The sequence below is a fragment of the Homo sapiens genome, chromosome 18, assembly GCF_000001405.40.
Source record: "Homo sapiens chromosome 18, GRCh38.p14 Primary Assembly".
NCBI lineage: Eukaryota > Metazoa > Chordata > Mammalia > Primates > Hominidae > Homo > Homo sapiens.
Window position 1 is genome coordinate 7,987,835 of NC_000018.10, and position 18,036 is coordinate 8,005,870.

Here is an 18,036-nt window from a genome sequence, read left to right on the forward strand (position 1 = left end):
AGAAACTTTTCATTCTTTCTTGATATCTTCACAAACAAATATGTATTTGAAAATGTAAATGATAGCAGGCACAGTGGCTCATGCCTGTAATCCCAGCACTTTGAGAGGGGAGGCAGGGGATCACTTGAGTCCAGGAGTTCAGGACCAGCCTGGACAACATAGTGAGACCCTGTGTCTACAAAAAAAAAAAAAAAAAAAAAATTAACCAGGCTTAGTGGCATGTGCCTGTCCTCCCAGTTACTCAGGATGCTAAGGCAGGAGGATCGCTTGAGTCTGGGAGGTTGAGGCTGCAGTGAGCTGTGATCATGCTACTGCACTCCAGCTTGGGTGACAGACCTAGGGGATCTGTTATCATGTTCATTTCAAATTCTGAGCTAGACCTTATCTCAAAAAAAAACCAAACAAACAAAAAAGAAAATGCAAATGATTTAGAGATACTTTCAATGATCTGAAGTTTTTGGTAAAATTAACATAATCCTTTCATTAGTTTATGGTTTTAAAATTAGGCCCTTTCTAATTTTGATTAAAATAAATGAAAAGGGCTTTAAAATTTTTTATTTTTTATTGTAATAAAGTATACATAAAAATATTTATCAGTTTAACCATTGTAAATGTACAATTCAGTGCCATTAAATGCATTCATAATATTGTGTAACTGTCACCACGATCTATATCCAAAACATTGGTATCATCCCTTACTAAAGCCCTGTACTTAAAACGACAACCTCCACTCCTCCCCTCCACCTAGTCCCAGACAACTTTTATTCTATTTTCTTTCTCTGTGAATATGCATATTCTGGGTATCTCATAAAAGTGGAATCATACCATGGTTTTCCACGTGTCTGACTTATTTCAACAAGCATGATATTTTCAAGATCTATTCATGTTGGTAGCATATATTAAAATTTCCTTACTTTTAGTGGCTGAGTCATATTCCATTGGATGGATATACCACATTTTGTTTATTCTTTCACCTGTTGATGGGCATTTTGGTTGCTTCTACCTTTTGATTATTTTGAATAATGCTACTATGAACATTAATGTACAATATCTGTTTGATTTCTAAGGGCTTTTGATACAAGTTAGATTTAGGCCCCAGAAAATGTCAGATTGGAGATCAAGTTCAACATAAGAATGGGGAAAATCATCTATAGAGCAAATAACTATTGCTAAGGTTAGAGAATATAGTACCTTTATTTAAGTACATATTGCTTATTATTATTAATACATATTCAATTAATACTTGTTGGTCATAGGTAAGTTGTAAATTCACTCTATATTTGTTTTTGTGGCTATTACATTTATCCTAATTACCACTGACACAAACCTGAGAGAGCAGCAATGTTGATGGGTGTGGCTAATTTTTTTTTTTTAATTTCCTAGTTACAGGCAAAGTAACAGGAAAAACTAAATGACTTCTAGTAACTGGCATTACTGTACCAAACCATGGGCAGTATATCAGAGGCTTGCAGGTTCCACTGAAATTTATGCTCACCTTGCTTCCATATTGCTATTATTAGCCCCAAACCACCATCTTGGTTCATCTTAACATAGTGCTTTATTTACAGTGCATGTTAATGTTTATTTCTTAACACTAATTAAGATTTAGCCATGCCTCCTTGAGCAGGACGTGTAAGCATAATAAGAAGCACTTCTGTATGTTCTTACTTATAATAAGAAGCACTTCTGTATGTTCTTACTTCCAAACAAGAAGCTGCAGGATTCCTGTCCACCCACTATGCATATGGGATTTATTCACTTCATCCTGCTAGATAACCTCCTGTCCCCTTGTTGACTTCAGTTTTTCTAGCATAGCCAATTCTTCTTGGTTAACATTTTTCTTAAAACTTCTGGTTAACATTTTTAATGTTGAATTGATTTACTTCCTCACACTTTCTATAAGTTTCCAGAATAGGAAAACCATTCCTATATTATTCACTGGCCACCATCTGCTCTCATACTCCTCACTTCACCTCTCACGGGCCTCACCTTTGCTCGCTTCTTTTGTGAAGCTCTTCAAAGCTTTCTCTTTTCTCAGGATGATGTTTTTGCCTGACATTTTCTTCCTTCTTCTTCTTTTTATTCTTTTGAGACAGTCTTGCTCTGTTGCCCAAGCTGGAGTGCAATGGCACGATTTCGGCTCACTGTAACCTCCGCCTCCCGGGTTCAAGTGAGTCTCATGCCTCAGCCTTCCAAGTAGCTGGGATTACAGGCATGCACCACCACGCCTGGCTAATTTTTGTATTTTTAGTTGAGATAGAGTTTCACCATGTTGGCCATGCTGGTCTTGAACTCCTGGCCTCGTGTGATTCACTGGCCTCAGCCTCCCAAAGTGCTGGGATTACAGGCATGAGCCACTGCACCCTGACCACTCCTGATATTTTCTGAACATTTACTCTTTCCATCTATCCTAACACTAACTGTCATGCAAAATGCACCAATGTCTTTGTATTTTTGCAGTGTGAAGAATCGTGTGTGTTTGTGTGTGTGCGCTAAGTGTGTTCTGTGGTTTGATTCTCCTGTTCCTTCACTGTAGCTAGTTTATTTTAGGTTATATTCTCTTAATAAGAAGAGACTATGTTGACTTACTTTGGATAATGTCATAAATAGATTGCTGTGTACTAAATGGTTTCAATGATAGTATTTTTGAGTGATAACTACTTACAAATATTAAAAATATGAATATAAAAATTATTCAATATTCAGCCAAAATCTTTTAGGGTTAAAAGCCTCAAATGGGTTATTTTTATGATTCAGGAGTTCTTCCCAAAAGGATGGCAATGCTGATTGGCATTGATTCATGGAGATGAAGCTCTTAGCCTTCTGTCCTTCAGGCTTAAACAGAGGAGGTATACATGTAGACAGTCTACACTGATCACTGAGACAGAGAAGTGCCTTCTCCATTCATGCTGCCTTTTTAAAAGTTGTTTTTTTCTTCAAGGATAGACTCTGTGTTAATGTCAGCCCAGTTCTCTGTGTATACATGATGGTGGGGCCTGGGGGACGGGGGATGGGTGGATTGCAGGAAGCTTGTCTCAGTGTGCCAGGTTTTGTAGGTGACAGGGTGTAGTAATGGTTTCTTACATGAATGATTGCTATAGCTAATGGAGGTCTTGTGAAAATGATTCAGATTAAGCTTCTGGTTTGCTTTAAGCTTACTGACCCAGTATAATTGAGTGTAATTCAGTGGAATCAGTGAATTTGTATTCTTACAGTTAATAGCAATATATTCTTGAGAATGAAGAAACCATGAATGAGGTTCTTAATTTGCTTTTCTGCATCTTCCATGACCTTAAGAAGGATTTCATGAGAGCATTAGGGAAACTTCAAAAAAATTCTCTTTACAAACACTTTACACCTCACTCACTGTTAAACATGATTTATGTTGATAACTGTGCTAAAGTGAGAAATAATGCAAAATAGGGGATGTCATGGTTGTTTTATTTAAGGGACACCATGCCTTTAACCACCTGAGGATTGTAGTGACCTTACCAGTAATGTCAATGGAACTATTATTATTTGTGACTAGAAAATGGCTTATGACTATAAAGAAAAGAAAGGAGAGAGAGAAGGAAAGCTAAAAGAAGGGAGGAATGGAGGGAGATGAGGTGACAAAGAACAGAGGCAAATCTAAGGCAATCTTCAGAAGTAGTAAAGTAAAACGGAAATATTGGTTTGCAAGGCAGTAGCACATAATAGAATCGCAGGGTCTAATTTCATTAACATTCTTGCAGCAAATAATTTTCCTGAATGAAAGGAACCAGCTGCACCAAGCAGATTTATATTTTCAGTAGCAACCCAATCTAGCAACTTTGTGAGCATCTTAGATTTGGTTTAGTTTTAAACTAATAAAATCTTAGCTGCCTGACCCAGGAGAGCTTTTTCTCATTAGTAACTGACACAAAGGATTTTGTTGATTGTCCACATGGTTTCTGATTCCCAGAAAAAAATGAGCAGTGAATGTTATAAAGGCCCATAAGTTATGGGATGTGAGTAGGAAGCCGAAAACTTAATAGGAAAACCATAGGAAAGAACCCATCATGAGATACATGGATGATGTTTCAGATTCTCAGGAGATTAACAAAGTATCTAGAGGTATTTATCCAATATGATGTTTCTTGGGCATAGGAAAAGCTTTTTAAACCATCGACCAGCCTCCAGAAAAAGATACATGATAAGGTAAAGAAAGTTAGTCAAAAAGAAAAAGAATCTGTGACTCCATTAAGGAACAAGAGCTACTTTGTGTAAAACTGATGTGTATTTTCCTCAGTACCGTGCCCTGAGTGGGTAGGAGAGGGAGTTATTATAACCTCATTCCTGCTTCCACCAGAGCACCTGCACTAAAAACTGTTTTATCTTTTGGGGTTCTGGGTATGATCCTGTTTAACAAGATATTTTGACTACAAAAGTGTAATTTTTTTTTGAACTATCTGCCTATATCATTCACTTCTTTGAGCATGGAGGCAATGGAAAATCTTACTACAATCAAGTAATTGCTTCATTAGAGAAGATTTATCCACAGAAATTGATGAGATTAAGTGTCAAAGCATTGTTGTTTCACTCAGTGCTTCTTTGAGGTTCAGAAGTACTTCCTTTGTACACTTAAATGGCAGAAGTGAGAAGCCAAACTTCACATTTGCTGATACCTCTAAATAGCTTTCTTGTCATCATCATCAGTAAACACACACAGGTAGGTAGACAGTAGATCCAGGGACCAGGGGCAACAAAGAGTTGTGCATGAATTTGTAGTTTATTTGAGAAACAAAACGTTAACACACAGAAAACTGGTAGTACGGTACAGGAAGTCCTAACTTATTGTCATTGATAGGTTCTGGGAAACTATGACTTTAAGAAAAACATTGTATATCAAAACCAATTTTACCATAGGCTAATTAATATAAATGAGTTAAGTTACTATGTGATATTTCTGGTCAAGAAAACATCACCAACCTTCAAAATAAAGACCCAAAAACCTTCTAATGTTAAATATTGAAACAAATGTGAGCTATGTGTAAATGTAAGAAAGATTAATAAAAACAAGTAAGACAATTATTTATTCAATTTTTGGTGAATCAGTGAATGATGGCAGTAGTAGTAGTAGTATTGGTGGGTTAAATCAAAGAATACATATTTACAAACAAAGTTATAATGAGCATCTGTTACCATCCTACCACCACACAATTAAAAAAACATTAATGACATATCGTAAAAAAGGATTCCTGGCACTGAAAAATTTAATGAATGAAATAACAATACAGTTGACACCTTCAGCAGTGGATTAGGTCAAGCAGAAGAAAGAATGACTAAAGTTAAAGATAGGTCTTTTGAAATAACCCAGTCAGACATAAATGAATGAAAAAAATAATTTTAAAAAGAAAGCCTAAATGGCATATTGGTCACCATCAAGTGAACAAGCATTCAACTATTGTGAATGCCAGAGGAGAAGAGATAGAAAAAAGCATTGAAAAACCTATTAAACCTGAAATAATAAAAATTTCTTAAATCTTAAAAGAGATATAGACATCCAAATATAGGAGGCTTAAAGACTTCTGAATATACTTAACACATAAGTCTCCTCTTTGAGGCACATTATAGTTAAACTGTCAAAAGTTAAAGAGAGAATTCTAAACAATAGAAAGAGAAAAGCATCAAGTCACATGTAAGAGAATTCCCATCAGATTAACAGCAGATTTCTCAGCTGAAACCATATAGGTCAGGAGAAAATCGAGTGATATATTCAAAGTACTGAAAGCAAGAAAAAGACTCCTGGTGAAGAATACTATATTCACCAAATGTGTCCTTCAGAACGTAAGGAGATATAAAGTGTTTCCTAGACAAACAAAAACTGATGGGATTTGTCACCACTAGACTGACTATATGAGAAATGCTTAAGAAAGACCTACATCTGGAAGTGAAAGGATGTTCTCCATCACCGTGAAAACACACTAAAATATATAACTTATTGAAAGAGCAGATACGTATATGAGAAACCGAAAGGAATGAAATGTTATTACTACAGAAAGCTACCAAATCTCAAAGATAAACATCAGAGAGGAAGAAATGAATAAAGGATTTACAAAACAAACAAAAAACAATGAAGAAAATGACAGGAATAAGTTCTCACCTATTAATAACCTTGCATATAAACAGTTTAAATCTCCCAGTTAAAAGATATGGACTCACTGAATGGATAAAAATATATAATATAGCAAGACCCAACCATATTCTGCCCACAAGAAACTGACCTCACCTATAAAGACATATAGATTGAAAGTGAAGAGATGGGAAAAAATAATTTATGCAAAAAGAAACCAAAAGTCTTCAGTAGTTACTATACTTAGACAAACTAGAACTTTAAGTCAAAAAACATAAAAAGAGACAAGATCAGTACATAATTATAAAGGGATCAATTCAGCAAGAGGATATAAATAACACACACACACACACACACACACACACACACCTAACACTGGTGCACAAGATATATAAAGCAAATATCATTAGCGCTAATGGAAGAGATAGACTCCGTTACAATAACAGATGGGGACTTCAACACCAAACTTGCTTGCAGCATTAGATAGATAACCTAGATAGAAAATCAACAAAGAAATATTGGACTTAAACTACCCTACAGACCACATGGACCTAGCAGACGTTACAGAACCTTTCATCCGACAACTGCAGAATACACCTTCTTCTCGTCAGCACGTGGAATTTTCTCCAGGTTACACTATATGTTAGGCAACAAAACATACTTCCATAAATATAAAAAAGTCAAAATCACTTCAAGTATTTTATCAGAACACAATGGAATAAACTACAAATCAGTAGCAAGAGAAATGTTGGAACCTGGAAAAAATATGGAAGTTAAATAATATGCTCCTGAATGATAATTGAGTTAATGAAGAAGTGAAGAAGGAAATAAAAAAATGGAAACAAATGAAAATGGAAAGACAACATACCAAAACCTATAGGATTTCACAAAAGCAGTTCTAAGAGGGAAGTTTATAGTAATAAATACCTACATCAAAAAGTAGAAAGATTTCAAATAATCTAATGATGTACCTCAAGAAACCAAGAAAAGCAAGAACAAACCAAATAAAAAATTAGTAGAAGGGAAGAAATAATAAATATCAGAGCAGAACTAAATGAAATGGAGACAAAAATAGAGACTAAAAGAGATTAACAAAATGAAAACTTTGGTTTTCTGAAAAGATAAAATAGATAAACCTTTAGCTAGACCAAGAGAAAAACAGAAAAGACCCAAAAAAAATTAGAACAAAAAGGAGACATTACAATTGATACCACAGAAATAGAATCATTAGAGACTATTAGGAACAACTAACAACAACAGATTCCTGGACACATATAATCAACCAAGATAGAATGAGGAAGAAATAGAAAACCTGTGCAGACCAATAATTAGCAATGAGATTGAATCAGTAATAAAAAGCCTCCCAACAAAGAAAAGCCCAGGATCAGATGGCTTTACCACTGAATTCTACCAAATTTATAAATTAGAATTGAGATGGATTCTTCTACAATTATTCCAAAAATTAGAAAAGGAGAGAATTCTTCCTAACTCATTGTAATAGACAAGCATAACCCTGATACCAAAACCAGACAAGGATGTAACAAATAAGACAACTACAGGCATCATCATGATGAACATAAGTGTAAAAATCCCCAACAAAATATTAACATAGTAAATCCAACAGCACATTAAAAAGTTACAAAGACTATACTTTCAGGGATCATTTCTATAGTTCATTACTAGAGAAGTTTCTCTGAATGGGTAGAGCACTGGAAACCATGAGGAGGAGGCACAGTGTTCTCTCCTGAGCATGAAGCTGACTCTTGGTGTTGCTTCACTGCACCTGCCATGTGCCACTGATGATTGTTCTTGTCTTCCTCTGGGAGAGTAAGACGGAGAGCATGCAGTCTGAGTGCTTCCCATTTTATTGTTGTGTACTAAGAACAGTGTTTTTGTTGTACATGAGGGTGATAGCTTTAACATTTAGCAGGCAAATTGTTTTGAGAACATGTCAAGTGAGAGCTTTTTTCCTTTGTTCTTTGCTTGCTGAAGGGATCCTTGTGGGGTGGGCTGCTTGGTCTGTCACATGGCTCTCAAAAATAGTCTTTCTAATTCCAGTATTCCTTGGTTTTTCTGGGCTTCTGAAGGTTTTTACTATGTAGTGATTTCAGAAAGTTCATTATTGCTTAGTCTGCTGTGTTTAGTTCCCTTCAAGGTTTTGTAAAAGAGACAAAAGCTTTTATTTCTTGGTAGGTAAAGCATGTTGAAGTTATCCATTTACTCTTTTTTTCCTTTTTTTCTTTCCTTTCTTTCTTAAAAAAAAAAATAAATAAACACCATGATCAAGTGAGATTTATCCCAGGGGAAAATGGATGGTTCAACATACGCAAATCGATGAATGTGATACACTACATCAATAGTATAAAAGACAAAAGTCATATGATCATCTCTATAGGTGCAGAAAAAGCTTTTGATAAAATTTAATATCTCCTCATGATAAAGTCTCTCAATGAACTTGGACATACCTCAGAATTTTAAAGGCAATATATGACATACAGCTAACATCATACCAAACAGAATAATTTGAAGCTTTTCCTCTAAAATCTGGAACAAGACAAGGAAGCCCATTTTCACCACTTTCATTCAACATAGTAATGGAAGTCATGGCCAGAGAAATCAAGCTAGAGAAAAAAAATAAAAGTCTCCAAATTGGAAAGGAAGAAGTCGGATTGTCCTTGTTTGCAGATGACATGATCTTATATTTAGAAATACCTTAAAAACTATTAAAAAGCTATTAGAACATGTAATCAATTTCAATAATGATGCAGGGTACAATATCAACATAACAAAAGTCGGTAGCATTTCTATACCTAAACAGCAAACAATCTGAAAATGAAATCAAGAAAGCTATCGCATTTACAGTAGTTACCAAAAAAAAAAAAAAATACCTAGGGATAAATTTAAATAAATGAAAGTTTTCTACAGTGAAACCTCTAAAACACTAATGAAAGGAATTGAAAACACCAAAAATGAAAAGATATTACATGTGTATGGATTAGAAGAATTATTAAATAATATTCTTAAAATACCTGTATTACCTAAAGCAATCCATAGATTCATTGCAATCCCTAACAAAATACAAATGACATTGTTCACAGAAATAGAAAAACAATCCTGATATTCGTATGGAACCACAGAAAATCCTGAATAACCAGAGCAATCTTAGCAAAAAGAACAAGGCTAGAGGCATCCCACTACCTGATTTGACAATATGCTACAAAGCTATAATAAGCAAAACAGCATGGTGCTGCATAAAAACAGACACATAGACCAACGGAACAGAAGAGAACCTGTTAATAAATCTACATATTTATAGTCAACTCGTTTTTGATAAAGGCTTCAAGAGCATACGATAGGGAGATGACAGTCTCTTCAAAAAATAGTGTTAAGAAAACTGGATCTCTGCATGCAGAATAATAAAACTAGACCCCCATCACCAAATATAAAACTCAAATAAAAATGATGTAGACTTAAATCTAAGACTGAAACTATGAAACTGCTTAAAGAAAATGTAGGAGAATTGATTTGGTACATCATTGGTCTGGGCAAATATTTTTTGTTAAAATATTGAAAACACGTGGGAACCAAAGCAAAAAATAGACAATTCAGATTTTTTAAAAAGCTGCACAGCAAAGGAGACAATCAAGAAAGTGAAGAGACAACCTACAGAATGGGAGAAATTATTTGCAATCTATCCATTGGATAAGTAGGGATTAATAGCTAGAATATATGAGGAACTCAAACAACCCAACAACAATAACAAAAATCTGATTGAAAAATGAGCCAGTGACCTAAGTGAACATTTCTCAAAAGCAGACATTCAAATGGCCTGCAGCTGTACGAAAAAAATGCTCAACATCACCAATCATTAGAGAAGTGCAGATCAAAACCACAGTGAGATAACTTTTCATCACAGTTAATGTGGCTATTATCCAAAGAAAGTTATAACAGATACTGGCAAGGATGCAGAGAAAGGAGAACTCTCATGTCAATGTTGGTGGGAATGTAAATTAGTGTAGCCATTATGGAAGGCAATATAGAGGTTCCTCTAAAACTAAAAATAGAACTACTGTATAATACAGCAGTCCCACTGCTGGGTATTTGGGTATGTTGCAAAAGAAAGGAAATAAGTATATTGAAGAGAGATTTGCACTCTCATATTTATTGCAGTTCTATTTACAATAGTGAAGATACGGAGTCAACCCAGTGTCCATCAATGGATGAATGGATAAGTAAAATATAGTGTATACACAAAAGAATATTATTCTGCCATTAAAAAATGAAGTTTTGTCATTTGAAGCAACATGGATGAGCCTGGAGGACATTATGTTAAATTAAACAAGGCAGGCACAGAATCACAAATGTTACAGGTTCTACTCATATGTTGGAGCTAAAAAAGTTGATCTCATGGAGTTAGAGAGTAGAATGGTGGTTACCAGAGACTGAGAAGGGTAAGGGGTTGGAAGCCCCAATTACCCTGATTTGATTATTACACATTGTATACATGCATCAAAATATTACATGTACTCCACAATTATGTGAAATTTTTATGTATCAATTTTTAAAAATTAAAACATGACACTATTAAAAGTACTGCGTTTATTCCTCATGAAGATATTTGTGGACTAATAGGAAAAAAGCATTAAATATTTTAAATATAGAAAGAATATTCATATAGTGAAAAAAATTACAAATATGGCAGGCTCCCCAAGTACTTTTATACAACATTTTTTTTTATGTTTTTTTGAGACAATCTTGCTGTGTTGCCCAGGCTGGAGTGCAGTGGCACGATCTCAGCTCACTGCAACCTCCACCTCCCGGGTTTAAGTGATTCTCATGCCTCAGCCTGCTGTGTAGCTAGAATTACAGGCATGTGCCACCACGCCTGGCTAATTTCTGTATTTTTAATAGAGACAGGATTTTGCCATGCTGGTAAGGCTGATCTCAAACTTCTGGCCTCAAGTGATCTACCCGCCTTGGCCTCCCAAACTGCTGGGATTACAGATGTAAGCCACTCTCCCTGGCCTGTATAGCATTATTTATTGTGCATTTGGATGATTATTGTATACTTTATGAATTTTTATAATTTGTATTCATTCCTTTTCCAATCTGCTTATTCCTGCTTAGCATCACAAGTAGTCAGAGCCTATATTGGCAGCTCAGGACACAGGTGGGAACCGCCCTGGACAGGACGCCTTTCCGCTGCAGAGTGCACTCACATAGCCCCACACTCACTTACAATGGAACACTTGAGAGAATCCCATTAACCTGTCATGCACATCTTTGGGATGTGTTAGGAAACCAAGGTACCTGGAGAAAACCCTCACAGACATGGGGAGAATGTACAAACTCCACACAGACAGTGGCACTGGCTAGAAATTGACATATTTTTCTCATCGGTGTTATAACCAGATGACATGGAGTGAGACAGTGTTATTGAGAACCTGGTATATAACCAGTATTTACCATAAGAGTCAAGTCAATGATACAGATGATAGTATCAGTATAGGCTAGGTGATTGGGGTGAGTCCTTTGAGAAAGCAAGCCTTGAGCTGGGCTTTCTGGAAAGAAGGTACAATCCTTCTCTGAGCAGAGGCAAGTGGGATGGGATGCTAGGCACAGAAGACAGTACTGATGACAGTTTGCAGGAGGGACTTTCAGTTGTTTAGGAGATAGTGGTAAGGTATTAGGTTGGTGCAAAATTGACAATGGCAAAATACACAATTTTGCACCAACCTAATATAATGTGTTGATGCTAATTGAGCATTTGTTTTGAAAGAGTAGTAACAGAGAAGGTTCCAAGATAGACAGATGCTCAAATGTGGGAAAATTATTGTACTAGGGTTCTCCAGAGAAACAGAACCAATATGATATGTGTGTGCACACACACAAAGATTTATTATAAGGAATTGGCCCACATGTATGGAGGCTGGCAAGTCCCAAGATCTGCAGTTGGCAAAGTGGAGACCAGAAGAGCCTGTGCTGGTGTGGTTCCAGTTGTAAAGGCAGCAGGCTCAAGACCCAGGAAGAGCTGATATTTCAGTTCATGTCTGAAGGCCAGGAAAACAAAAAGAAAAACAAAAAACAATGTCCCAGTTCAGAAGCGGTCAGGCAAGGGGAATTACCAGTCTCTTTGTTGTATTCAGCCTTCATTCTATTGGACAAGGCCCACCTGCATTAGGGAGGGCAATCTGCTTTGCTCAGTAACGTGATGCAGGTGTTAAACTCACCCAGAAACACCCTCACCAGAAACATTCTTCACCAGATGTCTAGGCTGCCTCTCACCTTGTCAACCTGACACATAAAATCAACCATCAGAATCATGAATGCCAGGAATTTACATTTAAATTGTAGATAGTTGAATATGATGCTTTATTTAGGCAAAAGTCCATAGTTAGATAAACTGTCAGCAGATACATTTATTAAGGTGGCATGTGTCTGTTATTAATCATATCAATTTGTTTATTCCCCTCTTTTGATGTATAATGGTCTTACTGTGTGCCAATAAGTGAATATATAAAATAATATGTTTGGATTTCTACAGGTGTATTTGAATAACAGAATTCTCACTTGGGGGCCCAGCTTCAATTCATATTTACATGCCAAGATAATTGTTGATGTTGTAGAGAGGTGCTTAGTTAAGCAAAGAGATGAGCACATCTAAAATCAAGCTGGGAATAGGATCCTTAGGAATAAATATTTATGTTCACGGACATTAGTCTAAAGTGGCATCTTTAAACCTACCTTTTTTGTGTGTGATAGAAACATAGAGTTACACCTTATGGTGACCGCCTCATCCATTTCACACCATATATCATGAAGTCACAAGAAAAGAAGAAAATCAGTTCTGGATGGCAGTGCAGACTAAATGTTCTTTCATAGGAAGTCAAGAAAGTAGCTTTTACAATTGCCAACGTTTATGTGCTTTTCCAAAGACTTGTTCACATTCTTCTCCAGCAGTGGCAGGCACTTGAATAAACTACTCAATTTGGAACATAGCAAATGACTTCCTGGCCTATGAAGAATGGTGGTGGCAATAAATGGGTGGAACATTGCAGGCACCTAGGAAAGAGAGCACCATTTCTAAAATGTTTAGTGAAAATAGCATTTTCAAGCAAACTGGAAATGTCTGATTGGGGGCAGAAGAGTGAGCAACTGCAGCTTTGAAGGAGAGCAGGGTAACATGCTACATTCAGCATGTGCCTGAAGTCATGGGTCCAGCAGCTGTACCACCTCTTGCTGTCTCTGACAGCATTGGCGAGGGGTCTGAATTCGTTGCAAGTCTCTGCTGAGAAGGGCTGGCACATTTCTTTCCTGTGTCCTCTGTTAGGGGATAGCGATAGACTCCTCGTAAACTCCAGGATGGAGCCTAGTTAGGCCTGTAAGTGCTAGTGTCTTTGCTGACAGAATTGCTGAGATAATTACTGCCACCTCCTCAGTTTTGTGTGTCACAGGCCATTGTCCAGTTATGGTTTCTCTGAAGTGAAATTTGGTGCATGCGAATGGGTGTGTGTGTATCTGGCTCGAAAGGTGGAGCTGCTGAGAGATTGGACTGCCACTCAGGCTAAAGGTTTTCTGGTGCTAGACAACTGGATGAAAGGTTTGTTTTTTTTTTTATTTGCCCCTCCACCAGCCTAGATACACACTGGCTTTTGTGACTTTATAGAGTTATTCTCAGGTATGTATTCCAAAACTAGCAATAATTGTGAAGTGATTCCAAGAATCCAGTAGTTAAGTCTGTATGGCTCCCAAAACCCATGTCCCCTTCTCTGCCTAATCTTCCTTAATAAAAAGCCAGTTGATAGTTTTTCTTTGCTGAGCTCTAGCAGCCAGTTGGCCTGGTGAGATTGAATAACATCAGGTAGCCATGTCAGGCGTTTGGAAAGCCTACAGGCAGAAGGCAGTAAGAATGGTCTTACTGAACACATCATATTCTACCAATGTTAAGACATAGATTTATGGCCTCTAGCACAACATTCACTGTCAGCACCTGCTGTGTGTCATAATTGATGTTTCCTTTGGTTTCCTTGAACAGTTCTGCCTCAGCTAATGCCATTAAGTTTCAGAACTTAAAAAGAGTTATTGTTAAATGTGGAAAACTGCTCCTGATTATTTTGGCCATTAGAGGACCACGTGAGATGAGATCATAGAAAAATTGCCGGTAATCCATCCACTGACATTCACACTCTATCTAGATTTATGAAGCACTCCCCCAAGGCAGAAAATGCATCTGGAAAGAGTGCCTAATAGACATTTAGGTGTCTGGATGCTGAATAGATGCATATATGCATAGTTTCTCCATTTTGTTATTTCACTTCTGTTTCTAAAAACCTTGATAACATTTAGAAGCAAATGTTCAGAAGGGAATGAAGGTCCTGCCATCAGGACAAGACATTTGGGTAGTAGAGCACATAATTCCTTACCAGGTATGATTTGACCTGAATGCATGCTAGCTCTTGAGTAGGTTAGAAGTAAGCAAGACTTGAAACAAAGCAAAAGTCAGAACCACAGGCAGAAAAGACATAATGTCACATCCTTGGATGCCTGGTATGAGAATGCAGAATGTTGGCAAGAAAGATCCATGACTCTGGGAGAAGATGGGGACCCTGTTTTCTCCACCATTGTGAGAACCAGCTCTGCGTATTCTCCTGTGTCCGTGATTGTCACAGGGTGGTCTCCAAACCAGCAAGCATCAGCATCCTGGAGAATGCAGACGCCCAGGCTCCAACTCAGATGTATTGAATCAGAAACTCTTGAGTGGCAAGACCCAGCAATCTTGTTTTAACAAGTCTTGCTGGTGATTCTGATGCATTTTAAAGTTTGAGAACCAATAAAGTATCATCCCCAACAGAGGTGGAGTAAAGTGGATTTCACAGAACATTTCTCCGTGATTGCAATTCTCAGGCTGAGATGGACAAGAAATGCTGATACATCTCTGCCCACTGATTTGACAACTTGAGAGACTAATGGGTTTTAGGAGTTCTTATTTTTTTTAATTCCAAATGTTTCGTTTTGATTAAAAACTGAAATATCAAAGAATTCTCTAAAAATTCTCTATTAGGACCAAAAAGATGAAATATACAAAACAGTCTGGCATTTGCTTTTGTGCTGTTACCCAGAGTGTTTCTCATTTTGCCATGGCTGAGAAAAAGTGTTGGTGATATAGTTTGGCAGTGTCCCCACCCAAATCTCACCTTGACTTGTAATAATCCCCACATGTCAAGGGCGGGGCCAGGTGGAGATAATTGAATCGTGGTGGTTTCCCCCATACTGTTCTTGTGGTAGTGAATAAGTCTCATGAGATCTGATGATTTTGTAAATGGAGGTTCCCCTGCACAAGCTCCCTCTTGCCTACGGCGACATAAGACAAGAAGTGCCTTTGCTTCCCACCATGATTGTGAGGCCTCCCCAGCCATGTGGAACTGTCAGTGCATTAAACCCCTTTCTTTTATAAATTACCCAGTCTTGGGTATATGTTTATTAGCAGCATGAGAACAGACTAATACAGTTGGCAAATTTGGGCATCCCATTTCCAGTATAGACAACAGAATTATTCTCCAGATTTAGAAAGAGAGAGGAAGGTGCCTCAGCCAGGGCATCTGATGACTACACTTGCAGAAGATGGTCTGAGCACCGTATCACATCTGCTGAATAAAGTACGGATCAGTTCCGGTCCTCATGTTACCTTCAAGATTACTAGGCAAAAATAAAGTCATAGCTGTGGCTTAAAGCCTTAAACTAAATTCTGGGAGTTAATTACATTATGGACACGAATGCTTTTAAGAGATTGTGTATTTCTTTGCATCTGTATAATTGCATCATTAGTTCAACAGCTTCATTTAATGCACATTTGAGGGCCTATTACATACAAGCTGGCATTCCTTACCTGCTCTCCTAGTGTTGCCTCTTGGCCTTCTGTCTGTGACCATTCTACTTAAAGAAACTTAGGGAAGAAGGAAGATAAATATTCGCTTTCCTTTTCTTGGCCATAGAAGCACCAAGTTCAGTCATTCATTTCAATGGGAGCTGAGTGCATTCTTCCAGCCCTCAAAAGCACTTAAACTTTTCTGATGGCCCAGTGTTGACTATGTGGAAATTCCACGTCTCTGAAAGGAAATGGAAATGCTTCCTTTGTGGACTGACCTATTCAGGAATTTCATAGGGCCTCAGAGAACATGACAGAGGGGGAATCTCAGCTGTGCACTGAATTTCTCTACTCCAAGTCACTTTCTCTGATTGAGAGTGCGCTGAAAATTGTTTTGAAAACCAAACTGAAAGCAACCACTTACTTACAGTAAGGGTTGAGAGGGGCATGTTGGATAAGACCCTTATGAAAGGGATCCATAGAATCACTGTAATTTTGCAATTCGTGGATCTAGCCTATGTTTTTATGTAAATTGTGTGTGTGTGCCATGTGAGTAATGTCTGCCTTATAGGGAATTGCGTAGAAAAATTACTCAGGCAATTCAAATGGATAACATTTGGCATGAGTTCTCATATTTTGACTGGCTGTTTGCCTGCCTATCTAGTGAACTTTAAAAAAAAAAAAAGAAAATGTTCTAACAGGCTTGGAACTGAGTTTGCAAAGATAGGATGGGCCCAAGTTAGTATTACTTGCAGCCCCCAGTAATTCAGTTCAGAAGATGACTGACCTCTGGCATGAGGGATGAAAGACATAATGAGGGAAAGCCGATGGCATCAGGAAAGGGAGCAATGTTTCAACAGCTATTAGGCTGGTGCAAAAGTAATTGGTAATGGCAAAAAACACAATTACTTTTGCACCAACCTAGTAATTGCTATAGATTGCACGAAGCCAGAAGGAGCCAGGAGGAGAGCTTATGGGGGGCCCTGTGGCTCGTGCCACAAGTTGGAATAAACACAGAATCAGATCAAGGCAATCGCCGTTTACCCTACTTTTACTGAAAATTTGATTTCTTTTTTTATTTACTTAAGGATTGAATTTGTTGCTAACTCTTTTCCCTCAAATGGTTCCCCCTCACCCATGCATTTCAGTGAAGAATATGTTTTCAGTGCATATAAGTGATGACAAAATTTGCATTTCTGTAGACTCCAGCTGTCTGGTTATGTAAATGATGAGCATACACTATATTGTATTTTCCAAAAGCACATGTGCAGCTTGTATAGCTAAGTGTTAAATTTATTTCAGAACTTATTTAAAGAATGGTCCTTTGGGCATGGCTGGTGAATGGTTGCATGGAAAAATATACTCAAAGGCAGGGCAACGAAACTGTAGAAAATGTCTGTCTCAATTAAGGAATGCCCTTTGATATTCAAGTCAACTGTGTTACAAATAAATCAAAAAAATTCATAAACCCTCTCAAGTAGAGCCATCTGATTTTTATACGTATATAACTAAAATATCTTCACATATTACCTCTTGTCTTTATCCTATTAAAAAACAAACAGGCTCTCTTCAAAGTCACATCTCTGGGAAGTTCTTATTTTCTAGTTCTAGCTTTCTAATGCAGAAATATTGCCTCACTTTGATACACACCTTTATCTTTTTCAAACTACTTTTACATAAGTAATCCCATCTAATTCCCAGATCAGTGGTTGAGGTTGACATATGCCCATTTTACAGATGGGTAAACTGTGATTCAGAAAATTGAAAACTCCTTAAATTGTATAGCGAGTGAATAGCAGGGCCCAGATTCATATCCAAGACTCTTGGCCCCACCTCCAGCAGTATTTTTCTTTGTGCAGTGGTGCCTTTTTTATCACCTCAGGGGTGACCTCCCCTGTCCCAGGAGCCTAATGTCCCTCAGGGCTGCTCACTCTCTTCCCCTCCTCTGATTACAGTTCTCAAAGGTCATTTTATTACTATTATTACACAGCTGACACTCATTTTATACTTAAATATTGCCTCAATCTGTCTTTTGTATTTTAAGCCTTTTAATTTCTAATTGTGGAATAAGTAGTCT

The 18,036-nt window shown here is 37.2% G+C and overlaps 1 protein-coding gene and 1 non-coding gene across 37 annotated transcripts in view; both read left to right on the forward strand.

Annotated features, from left to right (window-relative positions):
- Positions 1-18,036, forward strand: part of PTPRM (protein tyrosine phosphatase receptor type M) — an 839,541-nt gene that overhangs the window by 420,519 nt on the left and 400,986 nt on the right. The gene's annotated exons all lie outside the window — the stretch shown is intronic.
- Positions 7,736-7,951, forward strand: LOC124904381 (small nucleolar RNA U3). The gene has a single exon (XR_007066495.1). It is a non-coding gene; the product is annotated as a small nucleolar RNA U3 (small nucleolar RNA).